This window comes from Homo sapiens, chromosome 3 (genome assembly GCF_000001405.40).
Source record: "Homo sapiens chromosome 3, GRCh38.p14 Primary Assembly".
NCBI classification, from domain to species: domain Eukaryota; kingdom Metazoa; phylum Chordata; class Mammalia; order Primates; family Hominidae; genus Homo; species Homo sapiens.
Window position 1 is genome coordinate 186,467,115 of NC_000003.12, and position 14,313 is coordinate 186,481,427.

The 14,313-nt window shown below is 42.3% G+C and overlaps 2 long non-coding RNA genes across 2 annotated transcripts in view, besides 1 other annotated feature; one reads left to right on the forward strand and one right to left on the reverse strand.

Annotated features, from left to right (window-relative positions):
* LINC02052 (long intergenic non-protein coding RNA 2052) overlaps positions 1–14,313 on the reverse strand; it is a 38,681-nt gene that overhangs the window by 12,134 nt on the left and 12,234 nt on the right. The window contains exon 3 of the long non-coding RNA NR_033844.1: positions 11,049–11,287. This is a non-coding gene — a long non-coding RNA (long intergenic non-protein coding RNA 2052). The remainder of the gene's footprint in view (positions 1–11,048; positions 11,288–14,313) is intronic.
* Positions 9,282–10,054: an enhancer, noted in NCBI's record as "H3K4me1 hESC enhancer chr3:186194185-186194957 (GRCh37/hg19 assembly coordinates)". NCBI's record gives its function as "activates a minimal SCP1, AML or CMV promoter by ChIP-STARR-seq in primed H9 embryonic stem cells {active_cell/tissue: H9 hESC(primed)}" and the evidence as "EXISTENCE:reporter gene assay evidence [ECO:0000049][PMID:30033119]".
* Positions 9,369–12,861, forward strand: LINC02051 (long intergenic non-protein coding RNA 2051). The gene is made up of 2 exons (XR_001741057.3): positions 9,369–10,016; positions 10,971–12,861. It is a non-coding gene; the product is annotated as a long intergenic non-protein coding RNA 2051 (long non-coding RNA).

Sequence of the window (14,313 nt, forward strand, 5' to 3'; positions counted from 1 at the left end):
AGACAATGTGGGCATTGACAACACTAAATATTCTGTAGGCTTTACAACTTTAAGAACCAATCTAGCAAATACATGTTCAAATACATGTCCCTGTGATTGTAGAGTATTTTAAACCTAGTAATGAGATTTTCTGGAGGTCTTTTGCTGGTCACCCTTGTGTCAGCCTTGGAACATAGATATGTTTCTACCCATTTTGAAGAGACATATAAATTACTAAAACGTGTCCATACCAATAGCATTTTCTTTAACTGTATAGATTTAGCTTGAATATTAATTTTAAGTAGCCCCCAAGGAACAGAATGAACTGCTTTCTTTTTCTTGACAGTTCTCTCCTTGCTCCCTTCTTGGATGTGAGCCTGATAAGTAGGTCCACTCTTATGATACTGTTTGTCCAGACTAGAACATTTTGGAACACACCAGTCAAGTCTCATGTTTCCTAACATCCCCTCTCTTTTCATGTGGATTATGTCATGGGCTACATAAGCAAGGTGGAGAAGGCAATTAATTCCTTTCATGCCAATCAAGATATGGATGTAAAAGACACTGCCACCTCCAAAGGTTCTGCTCTGAGTCTGAGACCTTATCCAAAATCTTCTCAGCTGATGTAGGAAGAAGACAAATGCAGTCTGAGAATAACCGAAGACCTTAGCTGTTATCCAAAGCAAACATCTTTTTAGGTAACACGTCCCCAGAAATCTTCATTCCTCCAGAAATTCCTCCATTGTGATAAACTGCCCATGGACACAATATGGGTCAGACTCTGAAGAACTAAGTATACCCAGCTCAGGTAAGGGCAGCAAATTTGCTCCCCCAGGAGGCCCAGTACTGGTGCAACCTCCTGTGCAAAACAGATTGCAACCCAGAGATCAGTCCCGTTCTTTTTCTCTCTTACACCAACACTTCCACAAAGTGTTAGGCACTGTGCTAAGCCTTTTACAACAACCCTGAAGGTAGTATTATCTCCATGGCACAGATAAGAGAGATCACAGAGGCCAAGAGGCTAAGTGAGTTGCATTGGCTGAGCCTGGATTTAGGCCCCAGTCCATCTGCTTCCAAAGCCTTTGGACCTCACCTCTCTGCTACAGCCCTTCCTTTCTATGCACAATGGCCCCCTTTTTGCAGCACTAGTATGAGCAGGCGACAGGTTTCCTATTGACCTGTGTGTCTAGGGATTACAGCAGCAGAAAAAGAAATATTTTAATTCATCTAATTGTTTACTCATTCCCCAATCCATTCATTTGACAAATATTTGTTGAATTGTTACTATGTCCAACACTGAGCTAGATGCTGAGGTAGAGAGGTAAACACTGAGGAAGTGAGACACTCAAAAAACAAACACACAAATAAATACATAATGACAAACTGTGATAAATTTGGGTAAAGAAAATTTTCTTCCCAATGCATTACCATCTGCAGCAGCGATGTTGGAAAAGCAATTTCAGTTGTACAGTTTGTGAATCGGAATTGAAAGAAGCTCTGGTGCAGCACTATTCAAAATAAATATAATGCAAACAACATATATAAGGGTAAATTTTCTAGAAGCCACATTAGAAGCAGTGAAAACAAGGAGGTGAAATGAATAATATAACTTATTTAACCCAATATATCAAAATATCATTTTAACAAGTATCTCATTATTAATGAGGTATTTTGGGGTTATTTATTCAGACTAGGTCTTCAAAATTCAGTGTGTGTTTTAGGCTTACAGCACATTTCAATTCCAACTAGCCTCATCTGAAATGCTCAGTAGCCACATATCGGCAGTGGTTGCCGTATTGCATAGCACACCTTTTACGGATACAGATAGTGCAGCTTTTGCCTGTAAGTCAGTGGTTTGCAACCTTTGCTGGCATGGAATTATCTCAATGCCAGTATTGTAGATTTTCATCTAATTGATGTGGGGGTAGAAGAAGGGGATTTCCTAGGTATCAGTATATTTTATGTCTTCCCAGGTGATTCTAATGTATAATGAGGGCTGAGAACCACTGCTCTAAGCAGTAGCAGTTTTGTACTCAAAGTCTTCAAATTATGCAAGGTAACAAGCCTGAAGCCCCTTTAACCCAGGTTGATAATCTGCCCACCATCTTCCCTCCCTGCTGCAAGCTCAGCTCTGGTCCCAGACTCTAGGCCAACAACCTCAGTCTGGGAAGCTGGGTTGAGGAGCTCCAGGGCAGCCATGCTGTCCCATCATTTACACTTTGGCTGCCGGTCTCACTCTGACCTTTTTGCTCTGGCTCTGACAAATCTTCTGATTCTACCATTATTTTTAAAAATTTTATCAGCAAGAATGAGCTTGAGTGATTCTGGCTTCATCGTTGCATTGTGCCCTGTGTCTAAGCCTCTCTTGCCTGCCTTCTGGGAAACTGCTCAGTGTCGCTAGCCTGGTCAATTCTCTCTCTGGTCCTCTGCTGTCCTATCCATTTGCCTTCTCTAAGACCTACTGTGGGACTCTACCCTTTCTGTCACCTATTGGGACACTTATCACTGCTTACCAGGTCCTTCTGATGCAGCAAACTCACTGCTCCTCCTTTCCCCATCTTGCCGGGCCCCATTTCTCTGGATACCAGGTCCCACCAGCCTGACTGTTCTCTTCACCCCCTCCTGCCTTCTCCGAGCACCTGCCCCAGCTTCCCTCCATCGCTAAATAACCCTGCCCTGTCCAGTCCACATCAGAGCATCTTCAGCCCAGGCCCCTTTAGCATCCTGTCATAATGGCTCATTAATCTGTATCTAGGCACTTCGACCTGCCCAGGAAGCAGGCAGCTCTGCTTGCTTATTTCTATTTTTATCCCTCTCTCTTTTACTTTATTCTTTATTTTACTTTCTTTTTTTAGTCTCCTCTCCAGTTGCTTCTTCTGCTCTGGGTCTGCCACCCCCAGAGCAGGGAATAGAAAGTCTAATAAATAGTGGAGCAAACACGTTTCCCACACCAATCACAAGAGGTGTTTGTCTCTGAGCTAACTCACTGCTTGTGGCTGCTTCGGGGTGTGAATAGGGCTACAAAGCCAGCTGAGAAAATCCCTCCAGGAAATTTGATTTCAAGCTCATAGTTTTCCCTCACAGCCTCTTGCACAGGAGTCACACAAATTTTTTTCCAAAAGTCCTGAGTATTGCTACCATCAGCTCTGGCGGTTCTGCTATGAGGGTATAAGAGCCCTTGGCTGAAAAGTTAATAATTTCCATGCTATTTTGCAAAAGCTTACAGCTGGTGTCCCCAGAGTCAAACTTGTCAGATAAATAAAATTAAGGCTGTAAGGCTGTTATCTAAAACCTACCACAATTCTATTCCCAACAGAGATTTAGGGGAAGATGAAGATAAAGAGAAGAATAATTTCTAAATCAGTTCATCACACACACAAAGGCCAGGACTTAGGAGGCTCTTTTGTGTGAGGGAGGGCAGGAGGGATGACTTTCCCAGCTGTGGTGAATTCCCGCTGCTCCAGGCCACAAGGTGCAATTTCTGGAGCAGCTGGCCACTGTGGCTCTGTCCTTGGCCCTCTCCTAGAACTATTGTACCATAAATTGGCCTGGCCATTGGACAAATGTGAGGTTTGTCTCTGGATCACTCAATCATGTCCATTGACTTGAAATGCTAGAACTTAGCAGCAGCAGCAATGGATGGGGTGAGCATTGCAGAACAGCAACATGAGGCCTGTGGAGTCCTGGAAGATGGACGGACGGATGGATGGATGGATGGATAGATGGGGGCATACTATGCTGACCATGAATAGAATTTGTTCTTCCTTCTTATGTATAGCCAGAGATAATATTTTGAAACATCAATTGATATACTTTTTGTCCCTGATGATATGTTTTTATTTTTTGGCTTTTCCACCGTTAAAAAGTAAGACATAATAATAGTATCTTCTTCACAGGATTGCCATGAGAATTAAATGAGATAATCTGGGAAAAGCTGTTTAGCTTCGGTATTAATTTACAGTAAGGGATCAGTATATGGCAGCTATTGTCATTATCCTCCCCATTTGACGCTAATAAGTTGGTAGAACCTGGATAAGTCCTGCCCCACTAGAAAGCAGCTGCTGGCTTGAATTTCTGCAGACCCTCCCTCTTCCCTTTTAGAGGGAGAACAGCACCATTGAGGCTTCCCAGCACCAGTGTAGACCAGCTCTTCCCTCCCTTAGTATGACCTGAAGTGGTCACACTGTCTGAGCTGGAAGGAAAATAGAGCTGTGTATATGCTGGGGTTAGGGGTTATAGAAGAGGTCTGCTCTTTGGTTTTGAAAATTATAACCTATGGGAGAATTCCGCTGTGGTTTCTCAAAAAATCTAGGAACGGAAGCTCTCACTGTTCGTTTTAGGAGTCCAAGCCCTGTGGCTCTGATGGTCCTTCAGACAGGAAAGAAATGCAGAACCAGGTGGGTACAGAAGAAGAGATGCAGTTTATCCTCCCTCAGCAACTTTCCTGGAATTCTTCAAATAAACAGACCTGCAGTGATTCTCTGCAAATGGAGGGCATCCCTTGCTCCCACCACCCCTGTACTCACTCCAAAGATCACTGTTTGCCCTGAATGTCAAATATAGTTCAAAAGGAAGCAGATCATAACTGGAATCTGGCTCTGTCTGGCACTAGCTGTGTCTCTTGGGCAAATTAATTCTCCCCTCCAAGCCCCTGAGCTAAGGGAGAAGAAAGAGAAAGGGCCATCTTTGAGAAGTGGTGTTATTTGAGTTAAGTGGAAAGACGCTGGGGAAATAATCCTTTTTGGCTAGAGGTACAGTCTGTGACTCCTCCAGGGGTCTTCTAAGTCCAAAGCCCCCAAAGAGGGCAGGGCTGAGAGCAGACAGAGCCCTCTGTGGCTGCGCAGATGGAGACAGCTTGATGAGAGCCAAGCCCCCTCCTCCCCATGTGCCACCTGCTGCTGATAGAGACAGCAAAGGCTGGAGCTTGGCAGAAAGGTGATTGTCAAATAGGCGGCCTCCATGCATGCTTAAGACCTAGATTTTTTTTTCAAAAAGTACATATACTAACTCCAAGAGGACCGTTCTTGAAAGCAGAACAGCTGCTGCGTTTTCTCTGTGAAGATGTCACCTGTAACTCTCACAACTTCTATTTTTCTGATGCCAGGCGACAATCATAACAAACCATTTTCACCAGTAAAAGCTTGCATCTGCAATCACAGTTAATCTGCATGTTTTTAAAAACTGTATTTCAGAAAGGGTCTCCAGTCCTCCAACATAACATCCAAAACACCGGTTCTCTTGTGAGAGATGTAAACATGTAAGTGAGATAGATAAGGCATGCAGCTGGGATGAGATCCATTTATAATGAACACGCAGAGCAGTGGTGGGAGCAGTGAGATGGCAGAGAAGCCACGTGCCCCTTAAAGAACACCCCAAACATGGAAACTCAGCTTTGGGGAGCAATTAAATTAGTAAAAGTAAGATTTTATATTTTGTAAGATTTTTCTCAGGATTCCCTTTGATAAAGGGTTGTTCCGGATCACTTACAATATAGCATGATTTACAAAAAGCCCATCTGTTCGCAACGTGCAATGTTTGCAAAAGCACAGTGGTTGGTTTGGCTACAAGAAAGGAGGATCTACTGTTTATGTGAAAATGGCAAAGGCAACGTCCAGATGACTTGCAGAAGCTCTTTTCCTGGAATTCTCAAAAGAGTCTATTTTCTAAGGGATTGTCCCAGTGAATCATTACGATGACTAGTACAACCGAGATAATTGTCAGTTTGTGAGTAAAGTGATGAGGAAGGAACAGGGGATATTTTGTCATACCACCATCAAAGATGATGGAGGATGTTAGAGATGGACAAGGACTAGTGAAGCAAGCTTGTGTTAGAATGAGACGGGGCTTCGGCCTGGACAGGGGTCATGGGCCAGGAACCAGACAGGCAGTTAAGAACCAAGAAATTCATGGAAGCCAAAGGATAAGGCAAAGTTGTGGTTCTGAATTCAGTAAAGAACCAGGGGCTCAAATGTCCTGAGACTTCATGCAGGCAGGAAGCAGAGCTATAGGTAGTATGAAGGCTGGAGGGTTCCTTAGCTCCAGCCAAGGAACCTCAGGCCCTGTAGGCACGAAACAGATGAACCACATTTTAGAAGTATAGGATCACTTGCCTGGAAGGGAGAGTCAGAGGTTGGGCTGGAAACAAGGACTCACATGTAATGGTTTATCTTTGGAAGCAGTGATGCCATAATGTCCAAAGAACAGGAAATTAAATTTTATTCTCTGCTGCCTCCGGGTCTATTTATACTCCCAAGATCTAATCTTTCTGTAACTCTTGTTACCTGAGTAAGGTACATAGCCAACTTGTCAGGTATCCAATAAGAGAGATAAGATGCTCTTTCCAAAGCCACGTCTACTGCATATTATTGGACTGAAGGGAGTTCCTCCAGGAAGGAAATTAAATCTTGAGGGCCTCAGCATTTGACTTGCCTTTTTCCTTCCTGCTGCTGCCAAGCTGCCAGTGTGGTTAACTGGTACCCTAGCTCGGAGAAGACCCAGGTGGGTCTCCACCAAGGAGGCACAGGAGATGTCAACAGTCTCTTCTGCCTGCCCTATGACCTTGGGATGTTGAAAACAAGTAAGGAAGCAGGAAGAGAGAGAGTGGCCCAAAGCGATCTCTGCCTGCATCAAGCATTTTACCCAGAGTTATTCCTGAATACAGGTATCCTGAGCAGAATGCCTAATAGGGAGAAGACGATTGAAGATCAAGCTTCTAAGAGGAATTGTGCATATCTGGGTTGATGAAAGTGGGAAAGGGGGAGAGAGAAAGGAGAAGAAGCAAAAGGCCCCAGCCGTGGCAAACTACTGCAGATACTTTGTTCTTCTGCATCAGGTAGCACTGATATTATGTTTTTTTACTTATAAAACATAATAGGAGTAATAAATAGCAATATGTGAATAGCAACATAAATGTACAGATTACAAAATAACTTTTAGTGTCATAATTGTATTATTTATTTATTTGTTTATATTTACATTTTTTGAGACAGAGTCTGGCTTTGTCTCCCAGGCTGGAGTGCAGTGGCATGATCTTGGTTCATTGCAACCTCCACCTCCTGGGTTCAAGTGATTCTCCTGCTTCAGCCTCCGGAGTAGCTGGGATTACAGACGTGCGCCACCATGCCCAGCTAATTTTTGTATTTTTAGTAGAGGCAGGGTTTCACCATGTTGCCCAGGCTGGTCTTGAACTCCTAATCTCAGGTGATCCACCCACCTCAGCCTCTCAAAGTGCTGGGATTACGGGCGTGCACCACCGCGCCTGGCCTAGTATCATAATTTTATATAAAACAATAAATAATAATATTTTATTAATATATGACTGATGACTGTAAGATTTTTCTGGCTCATTTTTCTGCAAACTCATTTATACTTTTAGCAATTTATTTTCCATTAATATTATTGAAGGCAATGTGAGTTGCTCTTGGCAAATGCAAGACTGGAAGTTGATAATTGATTCTTTTTAATTTTGAGAAGAGTCTGATGATGCAACTGTTACTGAGCTATTAAGAGTTTCTACAGACTATGGCAACAGATACGTTTATCAGATAAATTTCTGGTAAATTATTTTGAAATATATAAATTTTAGCATCTCTAGAGCTGGTGATTCTCATGAAACAATTTTTCTAGAAAGATTTCACTCTTCATATAAATCAGTTTCATATAGTCTGAATTTAATTTTAAAGTAATTTTATACAATGGCATTTAAAATTTTCATCTAATATTTTCTGTAACTTGTGAAAGTCATATAAGAAACCAAAAGTGGCTTCATGGTTTTATATAATGCAGAGCTTCTGCTTATGCATTCTATTACCGCATCTTCAATTACAAAGGAAATGAGTTATAAAATTGTCCTCGTTATGTTAAAAATTGGTTCACCTAACACTTTGTATGAAAATTGTGTTCTTTTCCATTGAATGCAATAATATTTAAATTTAATTTCTATTCCAAGGCTGTGGGTATTTTCTTTGCACTGTTGCAGCAGTTTTCAAAACCAGAGTCTAATCTCATTGAAGAATAACTTCTGGCCGGGCGCAGTGGCTCACGCCTGTAATCCCAACACTTTGGGAGGACGAGGTCAAGAGATTGAGACTAGCCTGGCCAACACGGTGAAACCCCATCTCTACTAAAAGTACAAAAATTATCTGGGTGTGGTGGCACGTGCCTGTAATCCCAGCTACTCAGGAGGCTGAGGCAGAAGAATTGCTTGAACCCAGGAGGCGGAGGTTGCAGTGAGCCGAGATTGCGCCACTGCACTCCAGCCTGGCAACAGAGTGAGACTCCATCTCAAGGAAAAAAAAAAAAAAAAAGGAATAACTCTTTGGGATGCTTTATTGCAATATATATGCTTTTATTTTGTAATAATTTACAGACAAAGTTTACTGTCTGAGCTCTGGCATCAACTGGGATGGCATTCAGGCCACATTAATATTTGTGCTGATGGTGCAGGGATGGTGCTAGGGTTTGAATATTTGTGTCCCCTTCAAAATGTATGTTAAAACTTAACCCCCAATGCAATAGTATTTAGATGTGGGGCCTTTAGGAGGTGATTAAGGCGTGAGGGCAGATCTCTTGTGAATGGAATTACCAACATTATAAAAGAGGTTCCAGGGAGCTGTTCGGCCCTTTTGCTCTTCCTCTCTTTCTCCCCATGAGGACACAGTGTTCCTCCCTTTTGTCCTTTTAACCCATCTGCCATGTGTGAGAACAAAGCAAGAAGGTCCTCACTAGACACCAAATGCTAGCGTTTTGATCTTGAACATCCCAGCCTCTGGAACTGTAAGAAATAAATTTCTGTCCTTCATGATTTACCCAGTCTCACCTATTTTGCTGGAACAGCACTAATGAACTAAGATAGAAGGTTTCTGGGGACAGGTAGGCAATCTGGCTGCCACCAGTGGTCCTGCCACCACTCTCACGCAGAGTCCCCCCTCTCTCTCAGTGGCCGTGTGGGCCACCACTGTTGCTCTGCTACTACTGGACTGTCATTGTTTTCGATCTTGGCCTGGGTCCTGCTGCAGGCTGCCAGGCCAACCACTTGGCATGCATGTGCCCCTGCTCACTGTGGCAGTGGACTCAGCCTATCTCACTGCCATCTGGCATCTCCTCTGCCCCCACACACCGTCCTATCTGACTTCATTTACAAAACACAAGAGTCAGATAAAAACGATAAGATAAGCAAATTCACAGCAGTGACAGCAGAGTGTTAAAACAAGCACAGGGCCTCTTGTGAGGGTGGGCCTAAGTGATGGCACAGGCTACATTCCCATGAAGCCACCCCTGCTTGTGGGACTAGGTCAGGCATGTGATGGGGCCCCATGCTGGACTTAACATGTCTGGGCATGCATAACTGAGTAATAGGGTAAATCCCCTACATCAATTTTCTGGTTTTCCTATACAAAAAAGCACAAAGTATGTGCTTCACAAGGGACTGGGTTGGGAGAATAAGAAGTGCCAATTCCTGGACCCTGGCCCAGCCCTGAGGATGGGCATCTGACTGAGCCCTTTGCAGAGTGAGGCTGCAAGCAGAAGCTGAAGGAGCCGTTTTTCTCAAGGGCCCTGTGGATGTGGAGAAGCCTGCAGGGATGCTTGGGGGTTCAGATGACTGCATGGCACAGAGCCTCCCACAGCTCTGAAGAGCAGTAAGCCAGGTACTGGACAACTAAGCACTGCAGAAAGACCCAGTTGGTCTGGTCCCTCAGGGCAGCAGCTCTGGGGGGCACCGCCACAGCTTTTCACTGTGGAGATCAGCAGCAGCAGCTATGGCAGCATCCTGACCTCACAGGCCTTCCTGCCTTGCATGGAGGAGCCAGGCAGGAGAGGAGCAAGACCTGTAGAAGCCTGGGTGATAGAAGACTACTTGTGAGCTGGTGTGAGTCACGCTCAGCAAAGGGGGAAGAAGCAGTAAAATGGGGTTAGAATCATTCCTGGGACTCTGTTTGTAACCAAGGGTTCTAGGGAAGACTGGTTACAGAAGTGATCTTGGTGTTGAGCACTTAAAGGCCCAAGATGGACCGGTTCTATGAAGGTCGGCAGCATGAGTAAGTAGTGGGGAGATACCTTTTAACCTTGTGGGAAGAGGAGAAGAGACACTCTAACCGTAAAAGCTGCCCACGGAAGGCATGGGCTGCCTTGAACCAGTTCCAACACAGATTGTGGGACTCTGGGTTATGAATCGTGGAGAGAAGATGTAGGAAGAGGGTGGGAGTAAGGAGAGGGAGTGTTTTTCAAAGTGCTGCTGGAGGGACTACTTGCATTGGCAACATTTTGACGGGAGGGTGTTGAAACGCAGACTCCTGGTCTCCACAGAAATTCTAATTCGGTGGGTCTGAATATGGCCTGGGAATTTGCATCTTTGACACACACCCCTGACATTTCTAATGTGCACTGAAGTTTGAGAACCACTGTACTAAGGTCTTTGCAGCTGTTAAGACTTGATGCCTCTATATCTCAGCACTTTTCTTTGACACATGCCCCTAGCATTTCTATGTACATTAAAGTTTGAGAACCACTATACTAAGATCTTTGCAGCTATAAGACTTGATACCTCTACATCTCAGCACTGTTCTCCCTGCCCTTGCAATAACGATGGCAGAGAGAATCCCTGAGTCTATAACCCACTCAGGTCCCCCATGCCTACACATGAGATACTATAAAAGTGAGCAGGAGACAGAGTGAGTCTCCTACTAATTTTTTTTTGGCATAAATTAAATTTTCTTTTCACGAAAACACTTCAGCAGTTGTTCAGAATCTGGCTTTGCAATCCAAACCACCCAAGCACTAAAAGGCACAGGCACCGACAAAGACTATCTCCTTGACAAAGGTTTAGTTGGGCTCCTCTGAGCCTTCTTCTCGACTGGGCTCAACTTTCTGTGTGCTTCTTTCCTGAGTCCCTCCTACTGCTACACACCTATTGGAATAGTCTTGAATACAGTCTTCTTTGCAGGACTGTATTCAAGTCTGAACAAGCATCAGAATAATTTTTTCCTTAACAGGTATGGTGTCACGACTCAGACAGGATGAGAGTCATCATTGGATCCCTGGGCCTCTCACCCAGGACCCCAGGTGCCTACCTTTGAAGCTTTCATCTTCACTCCTGACTGACTGATTGGGGCTCCATTGGTGAGCCCGACTCCTGATCCAATCCAGGCCTCCAGATGACAGTCTGTTGAAGAATGGGCAGCACAGATTGTGATTCTTGAGATTCTGAGTATACTCTTGAAGCTGGGTTAGTGTCCTAGGCTTCTCTGCTTGTAAGAACTGGGCTATAATCCCAGGCAAACAAAAGGCTGGGTTGGAATCTCAGGTTTCTCTGTAAGAAAGAGGCTGAGTTAGATTCCCAGGCTTTCCTGTTTTAAGACATAGAGTTGGGATTAGAGTGCCAGGCTCCATTGTTTGTGAGGTATCATGAGTTATGAACATGGCAGCTTCTCAGTTGACTGAACCTCACCCCAACCTCCTTCTGAAACCCCTGCTGACTATGTGCTCCACCACCTAGGCACTAACTCTGTCTGCTTCCCTTCTTGTTGATATGATCTTACAAAGGATAATTTGGGACTTCCCTAAAGTGGCATCTCTAAGATCTCTCTCTTCCTTTTGCCTCCATTCCTCCTTCCATTTTTGATATGCCCTCCTTTAAACCCCCACCTCCTCCACATTTTTGTTCAGCCCTGCCAGACTTTTCCCTTCCCACTCCAGGCTCTCAACTACCTACACTCACTGGAGCCCCGTTGGAGACTCTATGGGACTCAAGAGCCTCCAAAAGCAACTACAATATCTTAAAAATGTCCTCCATAATATTGGTAAAAAATATTTTTGCTCTCACATTGGTCAGGTAGCAACTTGTTCCATTCACCAAAAACACAATTTGGATAAAAAAATTAAAGTGCAGTAAAGACGAGAGCCAACCATTTCATATAAACCAGAGTTCTGTATTACTGTGTTTACCTGACTCATGGCTACAATTTTAAAATGGAAGCTATAAGGTCTCCATTTGCATCTATCTGTATGTTTATGTATGTACATATGTATGTTATGTATATGTGATACTTTCCTATCTTCTGATGGTATTACCCAATTAATTTATAAAACCCTATAAAGAAGCTCTATTCTGACAGGCTTAGGGACAAATTGCTTATATCAATTAAATATTTATAAAGCTCTCAGAAATATAGGAATTAACCCCAATTTTTTTTAAGTTCATGTGACTTTGGGAAATATTTGTTAGATAAAACCAGTTTAAAATTGTTGATTGAATAAAACAGCTGTCTTCTGAGTTATCACATGTATTAAATTCATGTGAGTGGAATCAAAATTTTATAAATGAACTTTTTGACAATAATTATGTTTTATAATATCTGCCTAAAAATGCTTTCCACAATCTTTTTGGTAACTTGCAATCTTAAAATTATGCTAAGTAATACATATTCATTAACTATCTAGATTATTTCTAAGTCAGATAAACCACTGAAAATTTATTTTTAAGCATAAGTTTAATTTTATATACTTTTGGCTTCTTATTTTTATATCATATAGAGAGGCTACATATATTTAGGTCTGTTACTAAACATTCTTTTTGCCACATTAAAACAATTGTATTACGAGGAAGCACATACCTATAAAAATTGTGAGATGGTATATTCATAAAATTTGCTGATCTGCTACAGAATGTTGGTACTTGACAGACAACTCACAATTGTCTATAACCTAGTTTTTTCTGTTACCAAAAAAAGAGGTTACTTATGGTTAAAAATTTTAATCAACATATGTAAATAAAGCTACTAGAACTAATAAAGATAAAGGGAAATGACTTGCAAGCACAATTTGCAAAGCAGGAAGAATGTGTTTTTGTATGGGAAAAATAAAAATAACTGTCTTAAAGTGAAATGACTGGCTGTTCCAGAATAAGAAAGAGGAAAACATAGAACAAAATGAAATAGATATAAAAAATTGTAAAAGGAATATTGGGCCAGAGCAATTAGGCAAGACAAACAAACAAAGGGCATCCAAATTGGAAAGAAAGAAGTCAAATTAGCCTTGTTTGCAGATGACGTAACCTTGGACCTAGAAAAATTGAAAGACTCCACTAAAACACTGATAAAACTAATAAACAAATTCAGTAAAGTTTCAGGATACAAAATCAACATACAAACTGAGCGTAGTGGCTCACGTTTGTAATTCCAGCACTTTGAGAGTACAAGGTGAGTGGATTGCTTGAGCCCAGGAGTTTGATGCCAGCCTGGGCAATATGGCAAAACCCAGTCTCAACCAAAAAATTTAAAAATTAACCATGTGTGGTGGCGTGCACCTATAGTCCCACCTAACTTGTGAGGCTGAGGTTGGGAGGGTTGCTTGAGCCCAGGAGCTCAAGACTGCGGTGAGCCATGATTGTGCCACTACACTCTAGCCTGGGTGACAGAACGAGACAGTGTCTAAAAAAAAAAAAAAAAAAAGAAGACCAAACAAAAAAATACAAATACATACAAAAATCAGTAGCATTTATATACCCAATAGCAAACAATTTGAAAAAGAACTCAAGAAAGCCATCCCATTTACAATAGCTACAAAAAATATAAAATATCTAGGAATCCTTTTAACCAAAGAAGCGAAAGATCTGTATAAGGAAAACTATAAAACTCTGATGAAAGAAATGGCAGAAGACACCAAAAAATGAAAGATATTTTATACTCATGGATCAGAAAAATTAATATTGTTAGAATGACAATACTCAAAGCAATTTACAGATTTAATGCAATCCCTATCAAAATACTAATGTTATATGCCTACTATGTACCCATAAAAATGTTTTCAATTTTTTTTAAAGATAAAATAAAATAGGTCGGGCGTGGTGGCTCATGCCTGTAATCCTAGCACTTTGGGAGGCCGAGGCGGGTGGATCATGAGGTCAGGAGATCGAGACCATCCTGGCTAACACGGTGAAACCCCGTCTCTACTGAAAATACAATAAAAATTAGCCAGGTGTGGTGGCAGGCGCCTGTAGTCTCAGCTACTGGGGAGGCTGAGGCAGGAGAATGGCGTGAACCTGGGAGGTGGAGCTTGCAGTGAGCCGAGATAGCGCCACTGCACTCCAGCCTGGGCGGCAGAGCAAGACTCTGTCTCAATAAATAAATAAATAAATAAATAAATAAATAAATAAATAAATAAATAAAATAAAACAAAATAAAACAATGACATATTCACAGAAATAGAAAAAAAAATCCTAAAATTTATATGAAACTACAAAAGACCTCAAATAGCCAAAGCAATTCTGAGCAAAAAGAACGAAGCTGGAGGTGCCACACTATCTGACTTCAAATTTTACTACAAAGCCATAGTAAC